A 24,466-nucleotide genomic window follows, 5' to 3' on the forward strand; every position below is an offset into this window, starting at 1 on the left:
AATGTCGAGCTGTCCTTCTTGAACTTGATACATGAATTATGGAAAATTTTCAGCTATCCTTTTCTGAATTTGTGGCACAAATTTACATTTAAGAATGTAGGCTGTGTTTGAAGTCATGAAATAGATCTTTAGTAATTGTCTTTAAACACTCCATTCTGGAATAGTATTTATGTATGTTTTTAACATGTCAGACATTTATTCGCAAATATTTATTGGATACTTACTCTGTGCCAGTCACTGTTCTAGTTTCTAGATAAACGGAGTTAGAAAACAACTTAGGTTTTGGCGACGGGAGAGATGATAAGCAAGAATTAAGTAGACAGGATAATTTCATAAATAATTGCTATAAGATTTCAGAAATAATTGCTATAAAAAATAAGAGAATTATATGATAGTGGCTGGTGGTATGGTTATGGGATAGGGATATAGGGGAAGCTGGGCTAATTTTAGATTCATTAGTCAAGAAGGCTTTCTTTCAGGAGGTCCTCTTTAAAGTAGACCTAAATGACAAGAAGGAGTCATCCAGGCACAGTCCCTAGCCCTGGGAATGAGGGAATAAGAATAATTCTTATAAGGCATATAAGTTAGCATGAGAGATTGAAAATGGGCTGAATATGTAATATGGGCTGAAACTGAAAATAAGAGATAAGTCATCATGTGGAAGAAATAGGAATTGGAATACTTTTTTCTTTTAAAATAACAGCTTATATTGAGATAGAATTTATATACACTCAAGTTCACCCTTTCTAAGTATACAACATAAGATTTTTAGTATATTCATAGAGTTTTGATTACCACTATCTTATTTTAGAACATTACCATCATCCCAGAAAGAAGCCATGTACCCATTAGCAGTCACTCCTCACTCCCCTTTCCCCCACTGCTGGCAACCACTAATCTATTTTGTCTGTTCTAAATTTTGTGCAGAAAATGTGATTTCATCAAGAAAGATGTTTTCAGATGCGTGTACAAACTTGTGACCTCAGTGTTTATACTGAGACATGTCAGATTAGCTCATATTTATTTTAATTATAATGGTCATATTGTATTCCAGATAAAATGAAAGATGCCATCATAGCTAAATTGGCTAATCAGGCTGCAGATTATTTTGGTGATGCTTTCAAACAGTGTCAATACAAAGATACTCTCCCCAAGGTCAGTTATTGTTTTTATAAACACTTGCTTACTTTGCATGTGAAATATTTAGACTTTTTTGTGTATAAGAAGCAAGTTGAAACTTATAAAGAAATTTGAAGTTTTAATAGAGTTATCTGAAGTATATAGTAGAAATAGTTTTTTTTTTTTTTTAATTTAAGATGCATGAACAATTCTTTTATGTTTAGGGGATGCCTTTGTCTTTACCTTTTACTAAACTTGTTTTTCCAAGCTAGAACTCTTTCTGGAAAATGTTGACCATCTGTTTTCAATACTTTTATCAAATCAAGGCATTGTGTAGTTCTGAATCATTGGTGATTTGGTACAAGCATGTATACTTGAGCATGTTGATGATTCACACTTTTAATTATTGTCCTGTTTTCTTAAAGATGAGCCTTAAAGCGCAAAAACAGACATAAAGAAAAAAGGAAAAGAAAACTTAACAAATTCATCTGATACTTTGATTAGAATTCAGTTTTGCCAACAGGGATAAAAAATTGGGCTGCTAATGGACAGCTAAGGAAAGCAACCATCTTAAACCACATATCACAGGAAGTATAATGTTTTAATGTAAACCTTTCTGAAGTGACAATTGTAAAGACTATTCAGTGATGATCATTTGTTAATGACAAAGCAAATCACTAGTAAATTTGGAATGATTAATAAAGAAAACTTAAAGATTGAGTGAAATATATGTTTCAACTACTTCCTTCAGAAATGTTCAAGGAATTAGTTTCATCATATGGTATCTGTTACATGATTTTTTTTGGTAGGGGAATTTATTGATTTGTAAGTCATATTCAGGAATCTTTGTACATTAAAAAATTGCAGACAACTTGGGGGTGAAGTAAAAATGCACATAAGTGCATTAACAGTACTTATTACTCAGAAAATGATCAATAAGGAATTAATGTGACGATTCCTGGGGATTTAAGATACACCAAGAGCCTAGTAGAAATTTGCCCAGGATTCTTGGGTATTAACAGCCTTCCTCTTAAAAAGAGACTTGGGATCTCCTCTCATGTTTTTTTCATCTGAAAGACCTCATGTTCAGCTGCACAGTGTTCCGTTACATCCTGTTGGGCCATTAGTTCAGTCCTGTCATGGAGAGAAGAAAGTCACCTACAAAGACTTGGAAGCTACCTCTGCAGCATTCCTGGTATTCCTTGAAAATCTCCTGTTTCAGAACCAAGTTGCTCCAGCCTTACCTTGAGAACTGGCATGAGTGTAGTTTGAAATTTAGATGTCTTTTATTTTTTCCTTTTTACTAATAAAGCTCATAAGGTATTTTCATATTCTAGTTATAAAACTGAAAAGTCTGCAAGTAGTGATCCAGGAAGGTAGGAAATTATTCCCTGGGAGACAGGAAAGCACACAAGGTAGTAATTCAGTTTTTGATTCTCTTACATTTTTTGTTTAGATAGTGATTGTCTAGCCTAATTCCTTGGATTTTTTTAATATCATATACTTCCTAAAAGCAGTGAGGTTACAGGTTAGATTTTGACGTTTTGGAAGAGCCACCACTAGTATAATTGCTTTCCTGCTTTATGTCTTTGGATCTTTTGAAATTAATTTTGACTGGAATTATTTTCAAAACAAATAGGCAAAATAACACTTTATCATTATCATTGGTCATATACTTAGTGCATTTGTCTATGATATGTTTTTGAGTATATGACACTGAAATATTAGTGTATCTATGATACTAAATCATTTTTATATGGCTAAAATCATCTTCAGTAAGAACTCTCTTAGGATATGAATTTAAGTGAAAATTTACTGTCTTTTTTTTAAAACATGATGAAACAGTAATCTATAGAGCAATTTCATTAGTATATGTGAGTAATGATGGTTTAGTTAACTCTACAGGCTGGGTAAGGGCTCATAAGAAAGCTTCTAAAGCTCTGTGCTTTGTGTTCCTCTGTGAATGTCCATTCTACTTCTCTTTCTAATAATGCATGCTTTTCTTTTTGTAAACAAAATGTTGACTTCATGGATCAATTAAAGAGAATTGTAAAAACCTAAATTGGCTTCAGTTAACAGTTAAAAAAAACCCCTTCAATTGGAAGAAAAAAAATTTAATTCATAGATTTCAATCCACACAAAATCATGTCGTCTTCTCTGTTTACACCTAATGACTAACCTTAATCTCTAAACCATTAATGGGGTGATTCTAATTTCTGTCTTCTTTTCCTTTTTCTTCCTGCATCCCATGTTGTCTGTGGTGGTTTGTGTGGTTGGACTCTCCCCTGGTCAGTATTTTTATTTCCAGGAGGTGTTCCCTGTCTTGGCTGCAAAGCACTGTATCATGCAGGCCAATGCTGAGTACCATCAGTCTATCCTGGCAAAACAGCAGAAGAAATTTGGAGAAGAAATTGCAAGGTTACAGGTGAGTCTCTTGGTAATAAATATTTAAGTAACTAACTTGGATCTCTCTTTTTTTTCCTAGTGAGATTTCCAAGTTTGCCCATAAAAACCTTTCCCGTTCATCACCCCTATCAGCAGGGACAAGTGATTGTTTTTATCTTTAGACTTTACTGCATGTTTTTTTGAGGTCTCATATTTTATCTAAAAAATAGATGCAAAATTTGCATTCAATTCTCTTTTTTATCCATGTTTATTTTAATGTAAAAATAATTCTAAATTAATTGCCATCTCCAGATTGTTTTTGTCTTTAGACTTTACTGCATGGTTTTTTGAGGTCTCATATTTTATCTGAAAAATTCATGCAGAATTTGCATTCAGTTCTCTTTTTTGGTCATGTTTATTTTAGTGTAAAAATAATTCTAAATTAATTGCCATGCTCCAGGAGTATGTGTAGTGTTTAACTTGTGGCCTGGTCTTTGTCTAAACTGGGGCATATACTTCCACAACTTGAGGACGACAGTGGAGAGATGTGTGTGCATATATATATATATACACACATATATCTCTTGTGAACAGCAGAGTACCTTCTATGCAGTTGTGTTCATACTGTTGGCATTGGGGTTGTCAGAAACTTGCTGTGACATTATGGCACCTGAGGCAACTTGCCAGCAGGAGCAAGAGCTGTTTGTATGAGTTGTTTGTGTTTTGAGTATTGGTAGACAGAGGATAGAAAGATGACTTATGGCATTTGAGTTAGGGAAGTTTAAATATGTACTGATTTTTAGAAGATACTATGGATGTCTTGGTTCATTTTGTGCTGTTATAGCAGAATACCACAGACTGGGTAATTGATAAAGAACAGAAATTTGTCACAATTCTGAAGGCTGAGAAGTCGAATATCAAGGTGCTGGCATCTGGTGAGGGCCTTTGTGTTGTGTTACCTGTGGTGAAAGGTAGAAAGGCAAGAGAGTGCTAGTGAGTGAGAGAGAGCAAGAGGGAGCCAAACTGCTCAATGAAGCCCCTCTCTTGGTAACTAACCCTCTCCCATGATAATGACATTAATCTATTCATGAGGGCAGAGCCCTCTTGACCTAATCACCTCTTATTATGCCCCCACGTCCCAACACTTTGGGATTGGGAACACATGAACTTTGGGGGACACATTCAGACCATAACAATGGAAATGTTGTTTAGGAGGTTCAGATTAATTAATTAGCCTTTTCATGGGAAAGGATCTCACAGTGACCAAATCAGAGAAAGTCTTTTTAAAAAAGTCAGACCCAGATGTGTCTGGGGCTTCACTTTGATTACAGTAACTTAGATTTATATATAAAAATGATTCTGAACAAGGAATTTGTGGGAAGGATTCTTTTTTTAAGGCTAGCATATTTAAATTGTAAGTTTAGTTTCTTTATTTTCTGGTTTCTGGGACTATTAGATTTAAGTAAGCCCATATTTAGTCTCTATAAATCAGTCAGAGAAAGAACTCCTTTTGAAATTTAATCTCATTTTTAAGTACCCCTGAAAAAGGAAACTATTTCAGATTCACACAATGGGAGGGAGGTAAATACTTTTCCTCAGTTATAGACACATAGATTTTGCAGCTTTAGTTTTACAGCTTTAGTTATAGGTTAAAGTTAAGACAGAAGTTGGGTGTGATGGCACCTGCCTGTAGTCCAGCTACTTGGGAGGTTGAGGTGGGAGGATCGTTTGAAGCTAGTAGTTTGAGGCCAGCCTGGACAATATAGTGACACCCCTTCTCAAAAAAAAGTTAACACAGAACACACTCACTGATCCATATTTCAGAGGACAGTTATTCTTTCCGGTAGGCATGAAATATTTTTTAATTGATTTGCACTCCCAAGAAGACAAACAGAACAGACAAGAAGTTGACCAATAAACCATATTCGCTGTAGTTTCTCACTTAGTAGAGAATAATACCCCATGATTCTGACGGAGATCTTAGGAGGTCACACTATTAAACCAACTTTCTAGTTATGGCTACTAGCAAAGAGAAATAACTTATTGGTCCTGTGCAAACCAGAAATGAAAATAAAATCACAATCAGGAAAATCAAAACAATAGATAAAATGGCAGCAAAGGTAAAATAACTGCTTGGAATCAATCACTTCTGGGGCCAAGAAAAATTGTACCTGAGCTTAATACAGCTCATGAGTTGCACTTCTTGAACAGTGCAGTTTATGTGGCCCCAGAAGATGGATCTTCTTGGTCATCTTGGTGGATCTTCAAAGATGATGAAATACAGTTTTCAAAAAGATACAGAAACACACACACACACACACACAGATATAAAAACATGACTCACATAGAATGACTACATGTCAAAGATTTATTTGACTCATTAATGAGGGACCTAGCAAGATTGTAAATCTGATTTTGTGCAAGTATTGTTTTCTTAGTTATGGTACTAGGTTGTAGGTATTAAGGAGATTGTCATTATAGAATACTTGCTGATGTGTTTAGGGATGAGGGCTTATAACATCTAACTTCAGTTTCATGTAGTTCTGCAATAAAAGAAAAAATAGTACTTAATTATGTGTTTGTATGGGAAAGGAATAGATAAAGCAAATGTGGCAAAATGGTAATTGTTGAACCTAGCTAATTATTTTGTGGGCTTGAAATTTTTCAAAATTGGGAAAATAGGTATATATAAGGTTATATAGTTCAATTCCTGTTCCTCTTTTTCCCTCTATCCTGTTCCCTCCATCCATTATTCCTACTGCCCCATAGTTAATTTCCATTAATTTCTTGTTTTTTTTCTTTCTTTGAAATAGAAGCAAATATATACATAGACAGCACACACACACACACACATTGCACATTCTCACTTGTCATTCTTACTGAAGTGGTAGTATGCTATTAATATATACAGTGTTGTGTACCTTCTTTTCTCATATAACAATGTATCCTGAAGATCTCTTCATCTTAATTCAGCAACAGGGAGACCATCCTTAGAGCTGCATTGTACTTCACTGTGTAAGCCACAGTTTATTGCTGTCTCCTGTTGCTGGATACTTGAATGTTTCCAAGATTTCACTGTTATAAACAATGCTACAGTAAAAAATCACGTACACAAGTTATCTTGTACTTCAGCAGGTGTCTTAGCTTAGGCTGCCATAAGAACACCATAAACTGGGTGGTTTAAACAACAGAAATTTATTTTCTGATAGTTCTGGAGCCTGGAAATCCAAGGTCAGGGTGCCAGTATGGTCATATTCTGGTGAGATTTACAGATGGCCTTCTCTCTGTGTCCTCATATGGTGAACAGCAGGAGGAAGCCCTCTGGTGTCTCTTCTTGTACGGGAACTAATCCCCTATGAGGCCCCACCTTCATGACCTCATCTAAACCCCATTATTTTCCAAAGGTCCCATGTTCAAATACCATCACATTAGGAGTTAGGGATTCAAAATACGAAATTTGGGGAGCACAGTCCCGTACATAGCAGCAGGTATATCTTAAATAAATTAATAGAAATGGGATTGCCAATAGCAAAATATAAATATGTCTGTAATTTGTTACATATTTGGATTGTTGATCCACTTGGAATTTATCCTGATGTGTGGTGCTAGATATGGATCCAGTTTTTAAAGTCTTCTTCCAAATGGCTAGCCCATTGTCCCCAAACCATTTATTTTATAATAGCCTTGTTTACCTCACTGATCTGACATTCTGACTTTATCACACATTAGATTCACGGTATATATTGGGATCTATTTCTGCTTTTATTGTTTCATTGACTTGTTTATCTGTTCATACTCCAGTTCCATATCATTTTAGTTATTTATACTTGAGACTGTTTTAATGTCTGATAGGTATTATCTCTCATTTTTTGAATTTTTCTGCCTGTCCTTGCTTGTTTCCTAAATTTTGTCATTTTCTGGGTTTTCCTGACTATTCTTGCATGTGTTTCTTCATATGAATTTTCTTTTGTTTAACTATGATGGAAAACATATATAAAAGTGTAGTTGTGTAACTATGATGGTCAAACATATATAAAAGTATGAATCATTGAACTTCTGTTACCCAACTTAAGTGATTATCAGTATTTCGCTATTTTGTGTTTTAGTTATTTCTCCTTTCCTCATTTTTTTGGAGTATTTTACAACTATCTCACGTATCATTTCATTCTTAAGTTTTTTAGCCTGTGTCTCTAAGAGATAAAGATTTAAAAAAATTAAAAAACAAAAATTTAAAAAATTAAGAAATTTTGCTAGATGGGTCATTATCCCAATCTAGCAAAATTAATATTAATATTAATTAGTAGTTAATAGTCATAATCCAGTATTATCCACATCTAGTTTAGTTTTCCCTGATTTTTTTCTCAGGGGTCTTGGTTTGTTCAAATCAGGATCCACACAAAGTCCTCACTTTGCATTTGATTGATATGCCCTCTAAATCTTTAATTTGTAACAGCCTCCTCCTTCCCAACTTCTGTGTTGTTTTCTTCACTTTTTCTTGTTCTGTATGTTTTTTACTATGATTTCTGTGATGTCTGTTTTCCCTTTTGCTCCTTGTATAAATGTCTCAGTCTTGCTTTCTTAAATAAATTTGTATTTTTCTTTACTTTTGTGAGTTCTGTCACTTCCTGTTTCATATTCTTTTGCTATTTGGCTATCACTCACTCTGGTTTGGGCCATCCAGTCCTCTGTTCTTTTGGTACTGTCATTGTGTTCTTAAGTGTTTTAGTTTAGTTTAGTTTTTAGCATGCTGTTTTCATCTGCTTTGCGGCAATATTTCTTTGGTGAGCTTTCATTATCTACTGGAAAGATATACTGCTTGTTTTCAGTTTTTTCCTTATGGTTTTTTTGTATTGAGAGATGAGTTGACTTTTCAGTTACTTAGGTTTGAATGAGATTGATTTTGCTGGGGGTTCCTGTGCAGGGAAATGGGCAGGGGTTAGCTTTACAAGCATCATTGTGTTAAGGGCTCCCTCCTAAGGTCCACTTCTCTGGCTCTTAAAGCCTACCCTGGATTAGGAAGAATCCCACTACCTCTGTACCTGTGCTTCCCTGAATTCCTCACAGCCTTTGCATTTCAAGTTGATGCATCTACTTTTAGGGTTTATATTTTGCTGGCATTTTCTGAGTGCTTATGCCCTTTCTTCTCCCTCCCTACTTTTCTGTTCTCTCTTTCTGCTCCCCCTAGCAACCCTGTCTTTTTAGTTAATCTGTCTACTTCTTTTTCTCACCAGCTCTCTTGGGATGAGGCCCCTCAGCATCACATTTTTTTCTGTGGTCCCCTGGTGGCATGATAGGGGCCAGTTGGCTTTGCCTTTACCGTCACCTGGCAAGGTTTTCTCATCCTGTTTTGTTGTTTTCAGATTTGCTTAAAGTAATTTTAACTTAGGGTGGCACCCTTAGCACTTCCCTTTCTTCCCCCTCTGTGTATAGCGTACCTACGGTTCTGGTACTAGTGTTTGCTATTTGGGGGAGGGTTCAACCACATTTACAAATCAAATTTGATTTACAAATTTAAAAAGTGATTTAAATTTGTGCAATTTCCCGTTTCCTAGTTTACACTGAAGGGTAGCTTTTGTTTTGTTTTGGTTATCTTTCTCTAAGCATGATACCAGCTTTGGAGGTTAAGATTTTTATCATGTTAAGGAACTATAATTTCTATTTTACGAAGATTTTAAAAAATCAAGAATATTGAATTTTATCAAATACTTTTTCAACATCTATGGAGAAATTTGATTTTTTAACTTATTATTTTGGAGAATTATATAAGTAGATTTTCTAGTATTAAACCATTTTTGTATTCTTGTTATTTTGGTGTTTTAGACTTGCCTTATCTCTTCATCTGGTCATTTTATAGATGTAGATGCTTTCTATATGCCTGAGAATATAATGTGTTCTCTATTTGTGGAGTCTAGTGTTCTCTATGTCTGGTAAACCAAACTCGTTAATTGTGTTGCTCAAATCTTCTATAATCTTACACTTTTTTTTAATCTGGTCCAGCCATTGCTGAGACAGATATGTTAAAATCTTCCACTTTGATTATGGGTAAATGTGTCAATTTCTCATTATAATTGTTTATATAGATACTATTACATGCAAAATATAAGAAATTTTACATCTTTCTGGCAAATTGGCAAATATTAAAAGATTATGTATTATATTTATCCCTAATAATGCTTTTTATTTTATATGGTGTCACTATATCTAATACCACCTAAATTTGTATGCGGCTTATGTTCATTTTTTTATAAGGCCAAACTTAAAAAAAAATTCTTATTGATGTTGACATGTTGTTCACTTCCTGTGTTGTTGGATAATTTTTTTCAGATCCACCCTTTCACTGAGAGTTAGGCCGTTTGAGGTTCCTGCCTTCATGTGAAGGAGTGAAAGAGGTGCATCTCAATTCTCTGTGTTGTGTGGTTTCCAGACCCTTGTTTCAGTTCTCCATGAGGGCCTTTAATAAGTTTTAATTGCTAATTCTTTGGATGTAGAAATAACCCAACAGCCAGACAGGGCACAGTGGCGCAAGCCTGTAATCCCAGCACTTTGGGAAGCTGAGTTGGGCAGATCACTTAAGATCAGGAGTTGGAGACTGGCCTGGCCAATATGATGAAACCCGATGTCTACCAAAACATACAAAAATTAGCTTGGTGTGGGGGTGCACGCTTGTAATTCCAGCTTCTTGGAAGGCTGAAGTGGGAGAATTGCTTGAACCTGGGAGGTGGAGGTCACAGTGAGCCGAGATCGCGCCACTGTGCTCCAGCCTGGGCGTCACAGAGTGAGACTCTGTCTAAAAAAAAAGAAGGAAAAAAAGAAAGAACCCAACAGCCAGCTTTCTTCAATGTCAGTTTATACTGATGGGCTCATGGATTTCTTTTATTATCTTGATAATCTGCCTGTGTGTTTATAGAGATAGCTGTTATGTATTATCCTTCAGTTTTCGGGTATTTTGTGATCGGAGAATTTCCAGGTAACCCTGTCAGCCACATTGCTGGAAATGCAAGTCTTCAGATTAAAGATTTTTTTTTTGAAACCAATGCTTAAATACTTGGTGGGGAAAGAGAAATAAAATCACCTCCCTCTTTTTTTTTTTTGTTGTTGACGTTTTTCTTTTTAGCATGCAGCAGAACTGATTAAAACAGTGGCATCTCGCTATGATGAATATGTTAATGTGAAGGATTTTTCTGACAAAATCAATCGTGCCCTTGCTGCAGCAAAGAAGGATAATGACTTCATTTATCATGATCGAGTTCCAGACCTTAAAGATCTAGATCCTATTGGCAAAGCCACACTTGTGAAATCTACCCCGGTCAATGTACCCATCAGTCAGAAATTTACTGGTATGTCAGTTATTCAGACACACTTTAATCTCATTTTTCTCTAGTTTACTCTGTTTTTCCTAGCTAAAAATCACATAATTGCTGTTGTATGCTTTGAATATAATTTGTATTCATGTTGTTTAAAATGAATATGAGAATAAATATTGTGCCAGTGCAATGTTAAGATGGAAAGTAAACAATAATAAAGCATATGTAAAGTATACAATAGTTAGAAGACTTGAAACTGTGTGTTTGATTAAGACTGTAGCACTTGTCATTTTGTTAACTTTTGTTATTTAAGATGCTGCCATTAAAAATAAACAAATATGGCTGGATGTGGTGGCTCACACCTGTAATCCTAGCACTTTGGGAGGCTGAGATGGGTAGATTGCTTGAGCTCAGGAGTTAGAGACCAGCCTGAGCAACTGGCAAAACCCTGTCTCTACCAAAAAAAAAAAAAAAAATTAACTGGGCATGGTGGTGCATGCCTGTGGCTTTAGCTACTCTGGAGGCTGAGGTGGGAGGCTCGCTTGAGCCCAGGAGGTGGAGGTTGCAGTGAGCTGAGACCGTGCCACCATACTCCAGCCTGGGTGACAGAGAGAGATCTTTTCTCAAAAATAAATAAATAAATAAATAAAATAAATATAAAAATAAACCACAAAAATATATATTTTTTTCTTTTCTTTTTTTTTTGAGACGGAGTATCGCTCTTGTTGCCCAGGCTGGAGTGCAATGGTGCTGTCTCCCTCACTGCAACCTCTGCCTCCTGGGTTCAAGTGATTCTCCTGCCTCAGCCTCCCAAGTAGCTGGGACTACAGGCGCCTGCCACCTCGCCCAGCTAGTTTTGTATTTTTAGTAGAGACGGGGTTTCTCCGTGTTGGTCAGGCTGGCCTGGAACTCCCGACTTCAGGTGATCCACCTGCCTCAGCCTCCCAAAGTGCTTGGATTACAGGCATGAGCCACCGTGCCCGGCCTATTTCTTTAAACATGTAAACTTCTGGAGTGGTATTTGTATGAGATAAATACATGTTATTATATTGTAGATGTATACAACAGATGGTAGCCTCTAGCTGAGATTCCAAGGAGAATATTCTGTTACTGGGAAAGGGTGATTATATGTTTATTTAGCAAACACAAAGTGTTTACCATGTGCCAGGCACTCTTTAAGCACTTTACAAATATTAGCTCATTTGTTTTCAGAAGTGCCCTGAGATGGGTACTGTTATTATCCCTATTTGATGAGGATACTGATGCACAGAGTGGTTAAGTAATTTCCTCAAGGTCACATAGCTAGGAAGTGTTGGAGCCAGAAATGGAATCCTGCTGCCGTGACCCACTCAGTCAATTTTTTTTTTTTTTTTGAGACCGAGTCTTGCTCTGTTGCCCAGGCTGTGGTGCAGTGGTGCAATCTCGGCTCACTGCAACCTCCGCCTCCTGGGTTCAGACGATTCTCCTGCCTCAGCCTCCCCAGTAGCTGGGACTACAGGCTCCTACCATTACACTGGCTAATTTTTGTATTTTTAGTAGAGATGGGGTTTTGCCAAGTTGGCCAGACTGGTCTTGAACTCCTGACCTCAGGTGAGCCACCTGCCTCGGCCTCCCAAAGTGCTGGGATTACAGGCCTTAGCCACTGCTCCCGGCCCCTCATTCAGTTTAATCAACAGATGAACAGTGTCACTGAAGATCCCTCAAACTCAGTGATGAACACATCTGAAAAAGAAAGAAAATTAAGTTCAAAGAAGAAACTTTTCATTGTTGCCGTTGTCCATGAATGTAGTGATCTAAAAATTCTCTTTATCATTGTGCTTTAAATAGTGATTTAGTTTTGATCTTTAAATGTCAATAGACAATAAATATTTATAGACTATGTGAATATTGGAAAGAAAATATAAACAGTCACTTTTACAGTTCGGGTTTTTGTCTAAAAATTTTGTTGTAATTTCTCTTCCTAATTTTAGATCTGTTTGAGAAGATGGTTCCCGTGTCAGTACAGCAGTCTTTGGCTGCCTATAATCAGAGGAAAGCCGATTTGGTTAACAGATCAATTGCTCAGATGAGAGAAGCCACCACTTTGGCAAATGGGTAGGTAGAGCTTAATTTTAGAGCCTAAAGTTTTCCGTTTGGTTGTTCTTTAGTTTATGAACATTTTAGTTTCTGAGCTTAGAGCTAAATGTCAAGAGTATATAAAATAGAAAATGTAGACACACACTTACAACTATTTTTGTTGGACACTGTATTTATGAAGCTCTAGCAAATATAGTTGGAAGAAATTATAGAAACAAGGTGAGGATATGAGGACTAAAAATTTGTATTTTAAGAGGTATTTATTTGGAAATGAGAAGTAGAAATGAACTCAGATACATGGTACATTTAGTGTTCTGAACCAATTTTTGTTTCTGATGGACTGAATACTAAGAAAATAATTCATTGGTTTAAAAAATTTTTAGGTATATTTTACACACACAAAATACACCTATTCTAAGTGCACAGTTCAATTATTATATGTATATGTGTGTGTGTGTGTGTATGTGTATATATATATATTTATGTATATATATATATTTTTTGTTTTTTGGGACAGGGTCTTATTGTCACCAGGCTGGAGTGCAGTGGTGTAAACACTAAACATGGCTCACTGCAGTCTCAACCTTCTGGGCTCAGGTGATCCTCCTGCCTCAGCCTCCTGTGTAGCTGAGGCCACAGGTGCAAGCCACCACACCTGGCTAATTTTTTGATATTTTTATAGAGACAAGATCTCACTTTGTTGCCCAGGCTGGTCTTGAACTCCTGGGCTCAAGCGATCCTCCTGCCTTGACCTCCCAAAGTGCTGGGATTACGGGCATGAGCCACCATGCTTGGTCATTTAGTTAGTTTTGATAAATGTATGTACCCATGTAACCGGCACTATGATTAAGTTAGAGAACATTACTGTTACCCTAAAAAAATTCTCTCATGCCCCTTTCCCAGTCCTTCTTCTTTTAGCCCCTGGCCGCTATTGATCTGCTCCCTGTCTTAAGTTTAGTTTTACTTTTTATACAATTTAAAACACGTGTAATCATTCTAGCATATGCATATACAGTACTTACAGTATGTACAGTATATACTTAGAATGTGTTTTGCTTTTTTTCACTTAGCTACTGTTTTTGAGATTCATCTATATTATGTGTATCAGTTTCAGTCTTTTCTATGGCTGAGCAGTATTCCATTTTATGGTTATAGGGCAGTATTCCATTTTATGGTTATACGGCAGTATTCCATTTTATGGTTATAGAGCAGTTTGTTAACTCTTTCACCTGTTAATGGGCATTTCAGTTTCTGTGAACATTCATGTATAAATCTTCGTGTGGACATATTTTAGTTCTCTTGGGTAAATACTTAGGAGACAAATTGTTAGGTTGTGTGGTTAGCATATTTAATTTTATACAAAATTGCCAGGTTGTTTTCCAAAGTGGTTGTTCCATTTTATATCCTATCTGCACTGTTTGAAAATACAATTGTTCTGCATCCTCACCAATACTTGGTATGTCAGTCTTTTTAGTTTTAGCTACTTTAGTGTGTGTGTAGCAGAATCTCACTGTGATTTAGTTTGCATTCTCCTAATTGCTAATGATACTGAGCAGCTTTTCATGTGCTTACTAGCCATTCATATATTTTCTGTAAAGTGTCTATTGAAATCTTTTTCTCAGTTTTTAAAAGTGAGTTTTTCTTAATAGTTAAAGACTTCTTTACATATTTTGGAGGCAAGTCCTTTGTCAGATACATATAATTGAGAATATAGGTGACCCTGAACAACATGGGGTTATGGATGCTGACCCCCCTGCACAGTCAAATCTGCATATAACTTCTGAGTCCCCAAAACTTAACTACTAATAGCCTGCTGTTGACCAGAAGCCTTACCGATAAACAGTCAATTAACACATACTTTGTATATGTATTATATAGTATATTCTTATAATAAATAAGCTAGAGAAAAAATACTATTAAGAAAATCATAAGGAAGAGAAAATATATTTACTATGATTAAATGGAAATGGATCATCATAAAGGTCTTCATCCTTGTCTATTTCAAGTTTGAGTAGGCTGAGGAAGAGGCGGAAGGAGGGTTGGTCTTGCTGTCTTACAGGTGGCAGAGGTGAAAGAGGTGAAAGTCCACAGGTACACGGACTCATGTAGTTCAAATCTGTGTTGTTCAAGGGCCAACTGTATTTCTCTTGTAGTTGGCTTGCCTTTTCATGTTTTTAGTTTTGATTAATGCATGGATTTTACCATCATTTTTCTCTAACAAGAAAGGAATGTAAGTTTACTCTAGCATATGATAAACAGGCAGTCTGAGATTTTACAGAGCTTATTTTCTGAGGAGTTCATTGTATTACATCATTTCATTTGCCTTTTTGTCGTTACATAGTAGATAGGGATATGTACCTCCCTTCGCCATCATGTAACTGAAATAACTGAGGAATTGTTATTGTGCTACAAAACTGAGAACAGATGAAGATTCTGTAATGAATACTTAGATCATCTATTTTCTGTTGACATTTTGCCTAGATGATGTGAAATTATAACTATTGATTCTGTTGAAAGAGAGCAAAAAAGAAAAAAATAACTATTTTGTGTATTGTTTCTGACTTGTTAGAGATGCTGTAACAATCAAAAGTATAAAAGACTGCTTTTTTAGGATAGAATTTTTGACTTTTAATTACTTAGACTGAAAGAAGTTTGAACTGTAAGCCGACGATACCTAATATATTTTAATGCGGTCATAGTTTTTCTTATTTTTTGACTTTTTTTTTTTTTTCCCCCGAGACGGAGTCTCACTCTGTCGCCCAGGCTGGAATGCAGTGGTGAGATCTTGGCTCACTGCAACCTTCGCCTCCCGGCTTCAGGTGATTCTTGTGCCTCAGCCTCCCAAGTAGCTGGGATTATAGGTGCTCACCACTACGCCTGACTAATTTTTGTACTTTTAGTAGAGATGGGGTTTCACCATGTTGGCCAGGCTGGTCTCGAATTCCTGACCTCAGGTGATCCACCCGTCTGGGCCTCCCAAAGTGCTGGGATTACAGGTGTGAGCCACTGCACCAGCCTATTTTTTGGCTTTTAATTCTGAATTGTGGGCTTCATTTTTTAATGATTTTGGTTTAATTTTATCAATCACTGATTTTTTTTGTTTTTCTGTTAATCTTTGCTTTGCTTTTTTTTTTTTTTTTTTTTTTTGAGACGGAGTTTCGCTGTGTTGCCCAGGCTGGAGTGCGGTGGCGCGATCTCGGCTCACTGCAAGCTCCGCCTCCCGGGTTCACGCCATTCTCCTGCCTCAGCCTCCTGAGTAGCTGGGACTACAGGCGCCCGCCACCACGCCCGGCTAATTTTTTGTATTTTTAGTAGAGACGGGGTTTCACCATGTTAGCCAGGATGGTCTCGATCTCCTGACCTCGTGATCCTCCCGCCTCGGCCTCCCAAAGTGCTGGGATTACACGCGTGAGCCACCGCGCCCGGCCTTTGCTTTGCTTTTAATTGATAGGGCTTATCCAGTTTTTCTGGGTGCTAACTCCATTGCTGTTGATTTGGTTATAGAATACTAAATTAAATAAAGTAAGTATTGATGAGGAGTTAAATTGTTTTAGACTTCAGTATAACATAGTATCTCATTTTTTCAGGGTGCTAGCTTCCCTTAATCTTCCAGCAGCAATTGAAGATGTGTCTGGAGACACTGTACCTCAGTCTATATTGACTAAATCCAGATCTGTGATTGAACAGGGAGGCATCCAGACTGTTGATCAGTTGATTAAAGAACTGCCTGAATTACTGCAACGAAATAGAGAAATCCTAGATGAGGTATGTTTTATAAGATTTGCTTTTCAAGTATAAACACTGTGATCCCTTGATGTCCAGCAGGGATTGGGACTGGAGACTTCCTCATGCTAGTACAGTGTAGTTAGTATTCATCACTTTGGTGAATTTACTGTGGCCCAGAGCCTTCTCTTTAGCATAAGAGAAATTCTGGTTGAGTGAGAATGGGTTTCATTCTTATCTTAAGGGTAAGTAAGTACACACTAATGAAACTCAAATGACCACTGTGTAAAACTAGTATACTGTGAGAAATCAACTGTCATACAAACTGTTCAGTCTTTGTAATTATTGATTTATTTTATGCATAGCATGTAGCAAGATTTTTCTTTTTAATTTAATTTGTCTTAACCTGGAAGGTTAAACCCTTTAATTTATCCCTAATTTCTTAAAATATATTAAATATATTTGTTTTATATTATTTATCTTATAATTCCAATATCTGTAGTTTTTGTGGGTTTGAGTCTATGATTTGTAATTTTTGCTGATTCTTGCTTATGGTGGCTTGTTTTCTCTTGTGTTCAGTTTTTTTGTTACTGTTTTTTAAAACTTTAAAAAATAGTTTCAGATTTACAGAGTCTTTGCAAATTTAGTGTAGAAAGTTCCTGTATATTTTTCACCTAGCTTCCCTGAAAGTTAAAATCTTATGCGGTCATGGCACATTTGTTAAAACTAGGAAATTGACATTGGTACAGTATTATTACTCAGATTTTACCAGTTATTCCACCAGTGTTCCTCATTCTGTTCCAAGATCCAGTACAGAATACTGAATTGCATTTAGTGTTCAGTGAGTTTTGATTGTGCATTCATATTTCCTGTACTTATTTGTGGGAATTCATTGAGATCTGGGTTTAAGGTGAATTCTAGAAAGAATTTGTGTTTGCTTCTGCCATAAAAAGGCATTATATACCTGGTACCTCCTCAAACTTAAGAGGTTTTTTCCTTTCTTTTATAATCTTTTAATTATAGTAGTAATTTATCTTAAGACTTTGTGTCACACAGATAGTGCGGTTTCTAGTCCCAAGTTCAGGCTTTTGATCAGGAATCTCAGATAATACTTCTTGTTTTTTCTTTTTTCTTTAGAGCCAAGGTCCAGACAGGCATGTTTTCTTTTGTAGGGCAGTTTTCTGTTTTAAAAATTCATCCACTGAGAATCACCTGTTTGGAAGTATACCAGTTTGAGGGTGGAGAGTGCTTTTGATCTGACCTCTCACCTTTTATTGTCCCTACCTATGTTTCTTGTTGACTTTTCATGTTCTAAATTCACAATCCAAGTCAATGGTGAACTACACAGCTGGTGAACTATGGATGGTGGGCCAGTGCTAGCTTGTGGCCTACTTTTTTTGTATGGTTCACTAGTTAAGGATAATTTTTATCTTTTTTAGAGCATTGTCAAAAAAGAAGAATTCTATGTACCGTAGACTGTGGCCCACAAAACCTAAAATATTTACTCTGTGGTGTTTGACACAAGTTTGCTATTCTTTGTCCTAAGCTATCAGGGATTGTCATACATTGTTGGTGCTAGCACTGTGTCTACTGGTAGATTAGTATTTCCTTGTGTTTCTGGCCCCCTACTATCCTGTCATCTTATCTGTGCATTAAAAAGGCATTTAAAAATATATTAAACATAATTTTCTGTTTGTTGTATTGGAATGAAAGTCTAAATTTTATATTTTTTAATGTAATTGATCAGTTTTCCCCTTTTGTTTATGGCTTCTATTTATTTATTTTAATCTTAAAACTTTCTTTAAATTGATATATGGATGTAAATAGTCTCTTATTTATTCCTCCTTTTTTTTTTTTTTACTGAGAAAGGTGATAGCTAATTCACCCTTAAATTTATAAGACTTTTTGTTAAATGCATTATAACTTAGATGTCTGCAAGAAAAAAGTCGATTTATATTCTAACCTAGTATTCCCATCTCACCAAATTCTCACTTATATTGTGTATGAACATTTATTAAATGTATTAAAGTTTTTATACCAGAAATGACATTTCAGGGTTCTTTTTGCTTCCTTTTAAAGTCATTAAGGTTGTTGGATGAAGAAGAAGCAACCGATAATGATTTAAGAGCAAAATTTAAGGAACGTTGGCAAAGGACACCATCCAATGAACTGTATAAGCCTTTAAGAGCAGGTAAAAATGTGTATAAATGACCTTCATTTGAATAAATTCCCAATTTCGACCCACGTTTTTGCTTGATTAAATTAGGCTCAGTTGTAAATTCATTTTTACCGAAACTGTTTTTCCTCAGTTTTAGTATAAAGATTAAAAAAGTTCACAAAAGTAATCTGCCAATTGTCAGAAGTACAGATTTTTAAGAAAGGTATGAAGTGAAAAGTTAAAATGATCCTCCAACTTTCATTTTCTGTTCCAAACTCTGTGCATATTTTATTTTATTTATTTTTTTTGAGACAAGGTCTCGCTGTGTCACTCAGGCTGGAGTGCAGTGGCAGGATCACAGCTCGCTGCAGCCCCAACCTCCAGGGCTCAGGCAATCCTTCTACCTCAACCTCCTGAGTAGCTGACACTGTAGACATGTGCTACCATGCCCGGCTGATTTTTGTATTTTTTGCAGAGACGAGGTTTTACCATGTTGCCCTGGCTTGTCTTGAACTCCTGGGCTCAAGTGATCCACCTGCCTCCACTTCCCAAAGTGATGAGATTACAGGCTTGAACCACCATGCCTGGCCCCTGTGCATATTTTAAAAACATAAATGAGAGCATATTACATTTATGGCTTTGTAATTTTTTTCATTTAGTAGTGAATCCTGGGTGGTAAAAAAAAAAATGAGCTTTAAGTTATTTTGAGGCCAAATTTATGCTTCTTAAGACTTTGATTATTAAGATTTTGTGCTTGCTGAGATAAATGCTATCTTCATGGTGGCTGGAGATTAGTTTTATTTATCTTTGTAAAAAGTTCATATATTATTGAGATTTTTCTAAAAATCTTTTTTTTTTTTAAGTCACATTGCTCTTTTGACAGAGGAATACTTTTAAAATAAATGGACCAGTTTTTGGAGAGAATGATTTCTTCTTCATTCATGAGTTATAGGAAAAGATTAATATTAATTAACTTTTATTTGGCAGATAGTAACCACCAAATGTATTTTAAGGTATAGCTATGCTTTTGATTTTATAAGTGATTTTGTCATCTTTCTAAAAACGAGAACGCAAAGACTGTCAGGAGCTGTTTTTATTATGAAGTGAATTGGGGTCTATAGAAGGGGAGGATAAGTAAAGTTGGAGACTAGAACTCAACATATAACCAGCCGATAAACGTTGCTGTTAGAATCACTTCTGTGCTCTGCAAACTTTTATTTTCTCCCAGAGGGAACCAACTTCAGAACAGTTTTAGATAAAGCTGTGCAGGCAGATGGACAAGTGAAAGAATGTTACCAGTCTCATCGTGACACCATCGTGCTTTTGTGTAAGCCAGAGCCTGAGCTGAATGCTGCCATCCCTTCTGCTAATCCAGCAAAGACCATGCAGGGCAGTGAGGTAAGAAGGACACTTTGATGTAGGTTGTCATCTGCTTAAGAAAACCACATTCAAGCCATTTTATATAATGAACTGCCAATTTCTTATTGTCAACTTTAAAAAAATGCAGAAATAAATTGGGGTTGTTATATTTAAAGTAGTATATAGACTGTGTAATAGATAATTATACTAATATTAACTGTCCTGTAATAGTAACTTCCATTTATTGAATGCCCTTTTTTGAACTAAATTTTAGATACTTCATAGGTCAACAGTATTTAATTTGGGTTTTATAAAAGAGAGAAGCTTGGAAGTATAGAAATTTCCTGAAATGAAAGGACTGGGTATAGCCAGATACACAAATTCTTTATTTCTTACATTATTCTATACTCCTTTCCACCTTGTTTCACCGGAACTACCTTTGAAAGGAAGATTGACAAGGTGTGCATGTTAATAAATGGATAGCACCATCATGGTATTTCTACTGATGACAGGAAAGAGAAAATTGAATAGTAGGGCATCTGATTTGGAAAGTCCTAAAAGAAGAGAAAGTGCAAGTATAATTTAATGACCTATCACAGGGAGATAGGGTAAGTTAGTAGGAAAAGATAGAGGTCCCAAATCTCTGCACAGGAAAACAAGCGAAAGGGCAAGAAATACTGCTGAAAACTTCTTGAAAAAAGTGAATTTCCTGGGATAGTAAGTTTTGAAAAGTTTGAGTTTTGTTCCTTATTTGTCTTTCCATAGAAGCATTTTATATATTTCATGTATTTATTCCAAGACCTACTGGATATCTGCTCTGTGTAAGGCACTATGGTAGGTACATTGGAAAATTAACATACAAATTACACACAGGCTTTACCCTCAATTTATGATCCATTGTGGAATATTAGTCATGTACAAGGATGACTGTAATATAGGGAAGAAGTTTAAAAATGTCACAGGGAAAGTATAGGAAGTATGTTACGAGGATTTAGATGAAGTACTTAAATTTCAGTAATTTTGGAGTAGTTCTCTTCAGAGGCTTCTTAAGAGATTGGCACATTATGAGAACAGAGTGGATAGGCAGAAAAAGTAAACGTGTAGGATCGGAGAAGGGCTGAGTAGTGGCTGTGTCTAGAGAGTTATCCGAGGTACAGAGGATCTGCAAAGACAGCTTTTACTCCTGATTTCTTGTGACAGAAGGTTTACAGACATGTTGAGAATGGCTGGAATCTGTTTGTTTATTTATTTATTCACTAAGTGTTTGAAGGCCTACTATTCCAGAACAGTGCTGAGCACCTTGGTCCCTAACATAAAGAGACAAAAAACTGCTCTGGGTTACCTTTAGTGTAGAGTAAATGCACAGGTACTGGGCACCTCTCAAAGGGAAGAGAAGGCTACATAGTTGAATGTGCATTGAACCTGGATCTAACGGGGGAACCCAATGGAACAAGGAATGTGAGTTATTGTTTTGAGGACATAGGGGAGAAAAGGAGGTGGTCAGAAGATTAACTTGTGAAGAACAACGAACCTGAAGAAGAAACTGCAGACCCTTCGAACAGCAATAAATTTTGGTACCTTTTTTATTTTAGAAAAAGATTTCTGGTTAGTACTTTCTTTGTATTCTTTTTGGTGTCTTGTACATGACTCAGAATTATGTGGCTTTCGTCCTTTGATTCTTCTGCTTTCAGTAGAAAAGCAAAAATGGTTTGTGCTAAGCAAAATCTGCATTAGTATGCACTGATATATTGCTATTTTATTCAGTTATATCAGTTTTATTAATCCTTACTTGTGTTACACAGGAGAAAGGAACTTTTATAGTCAATACGAAGTAATTTTATGGAAGCTAGATTTTCTTGACGGGGTAACCACAAAAATTTCAGTACTCTCTGTATATTCGTTTGTCATGTGCCTTAATCAAATAAGGCAAGCATCAGGTTTATCAAAGCTATTTCAGACTGGTTATAATAGTTGATGACGGATTTTAGCCAGAATTTTTATGATAAAAACTCAGTTTTTTGATTGCTGATTAGAGTGATGCAAATGTACATGTTTTATTAAAAAGTCCAAGTTTGATGGTAGGGCTGTTTTTTCTTTTATTGTGAAGAAGCCTACTGTCTGGTTACTTATTTTCAGTCTCTTTGGACATCTGGTTTTAGACATTGAGATACTCTGACAAATTTTGCAGACTAGTGGTAATTTGTATTTAAAGATTTTTGTATTAAATACCTAGGATCACTGCTTGTGATTGGTTGCCTATGATGTACTGTGGCCTGAAGTCCAGTCTATGGTTGGCTGGCCAAGCCTTGGCCCTAATGTATATGGGGCTGAGTCTAGCCAGAGGAAGGAACATGTATTTTTTTGCACAAGGTTGATGTTCAGTTATACTCAAAGTGTTACATCTGCTGGGAGTAATGGAGGGGGTACCTTTAAAAAAAAAAACCCTTTACCTCCTTACAGGTAGAGCATAAAGAGAATTGTTTAAAACTGTGTGCCCTCCCAGAGGAGTGCCTTTTTTGGATTCACAGACTAGTGGAGGATCTGCAAACACAGCTTTTACTCCTGATTTCTCATGACAGAAAGTTTATAGACATATTGACAATGACTGGAATCTGTTTGTTTATTTATTTACTCACCAAGTGTTTTTTGAAGGCCTACTATTCCAGAACTGTGCTGAGTACCTTGGTCCCTAACATAAAGAGACAAAAAACTCCTCTAGGTTACCTTTAGTGTAGGGTAAATGTATCAAGTTTCTGCGTTCGTTGCTGTAGACATAGTTGCTTATTTGCCTTTTCTGAAAATAAAATGACAAGGTTATAAAAGTAAAATAGAAGATTTTGTTGAGGGCATTTCTTTCTTTCTTTTTTTTTTTTGAGACGGAGTCTTGCTCTGTCACCCAGGCTGGAGAGCAGTGGCGCAATCTTGGCTCACTGCAACCTCTGCCTCCTGGGTTCAAGCAATTCTCCTGTCTCAGCCTCCCGAGTAGCTGGGACTACAGGCATGTGCTACTGTGCCCAGCTAATTTTTGTATTTTTAGTAGAGACGGGGTTTCACCATGTTGGCCTGGATGGTCTCGATCGCTTGACCTTGTGATCCACCCACCTTGGCCTCCCAAAGTGCTGGGATTACAGGCGTGAGCTACCGCGCCCGGCCCATTGAGGGCATTTCTTGTCTCATATTGTACTTGGTGCTGTTAAATGCCACAGAGGATTTTAAATCTAAAACTGGGGTCAGGAAGCTGTGGCTTGTGGGCCAAATCCAGCCTGCCTCTTCTCTTTGTATGTTCTGTGAGCTAAGAATGAGTTTTACATTTTTAAAATGTAAAACTCTACTTTCTACTTCATTTTTTAAATGGCTGAAAAAAAGTCAAAAGAATGTTTTAATATGTGGGCATTATATAAAATTGAGATTTCAGTGTTAATACATTTTTGTTGAAACATAGCTGCGCTCATTCATTTACACATTGTCTTTCACACTACAAAGCAGAGTTAAAAGAGTTGCAACAGAGACTGTGGCCTACTGAGGCAAAAATATTTCCTGTTTGGTCCTTTACCAAAAAAGTTTTTAAGTTCCTGATCTGAAAGACAAAGTATTGACAACCTAGGTGATGCCATTCCTGCCATTCTGTTTGACCTCATCTCCTGTTCTGCCTTTTGTTTACTATGCTTCAGCCAGAGTGGCGTTTTTTTCTTTCCTTTGATCCTGCCAAGCTTGTGCCTGCCACAGGACTTTTACATTTGCGTTTCCTTCTGTGCAGGGCTTTCTTCCCATTTCCGTGGCTGTTACCTCTTTTTCATTAGTCTTAGATGTCACCTCTTCTCCATCTTTGTCATTGTCTACCCACATTATTCTATTTTTGTGTATTTGTTTAATCCTCCCCTTTGCATATTTATTTAATCCTCTCTGGTCCCCAAATGAAGGAAAAGACTGTTTTTGTTAGTAGTTGTGTCCATAGCATCTAGAATGGTACCCAAAACAAAAGTATTTGTTTGAATGATCATCACTGGCAGCCTAACTTAATAAAGGGATACATTTAATTGCAGTTGAAAGGTAGCTGGAGTTGTGTATAAGAAATAAATATGCTAGGATTCTAATTATTTATATACTTTGATAACATGTTAAACCTCAAATTTGAATTTATAAGAAAATTTAGGCAGTGGTTTTCTTATTATCTTGGTCATTCATTTGTGGAAGCAGTTTAATTCATTTTCTACTTCATTTACTCTGTTAAAATGAGGCCAGTGCCTTATAATCTGAAATATGTTAAACTAGTGTACTGCATATGAATTTTTTTAAAAAGATGTTCATAATATAAGGGATCTCTATCTTTGTGTGGTAGTCC

General features: G+C 36.2%; 1 protein-coding gene across 5 annotated transcripts in view; it reads left to right on the top strand.

The window, feature by feature from the left end:
* PDCD6IP (programmed cell death 6 interacting protein) overlaps positions 1–24,466 on the top strand; it is a 71,074-nt gene that overhangs the window by 26,796 nt on the left and 19,812 nt on the right. For 3 of the 5 annotated variants that reach the window (NM_001162429.3, XM_011533252.2, XM_047447042.1), the window contains 7 exons: positions 1,055–1,155; positions 3,413–3,544; positions 10,619–10,841; positions 12,779–12,902; positions 16,472–16,649; positions 18,687–18,798; positions 19,994–20,163. In NM_001162429.3, coding sequence (NP_001155901.1) covers positions 1,055–1,155; positions 3,413–3,544; positions 10,619–10,841; positions 12,779–12,902; positions 16,472–16,649; positions 18,687–18,798; positions 19,994–20,163 — 1,040 coding nt within the window. Of the gene's footprint in view, positions 1–1,054; positions 1,846–3,412; positions 3,545–10,618; positions 10,842–12,778; positions 12,903–16,471; positions 16,650–18,686; positions 18,799–19,993; positions 20,164–24,466 lie in introns of those variants that run through there. The other 2 variants (NM_013374.6, NM_001256192.2) reach the window with 2 other exon arrangements.

The sequence above is a fragment of the Homo sapiens genome, chromosome 3, assembly GCF_000001405.40.
Source record: "Homo sapiens chromosome 3, GRCh38.p14 Primary Assembly".
Taxonomy (NCBI): Eukaryota; Metazoa; Chordata; class Mammalia; order Primates; family Hominidae; genus Homo; species Homo sapiens.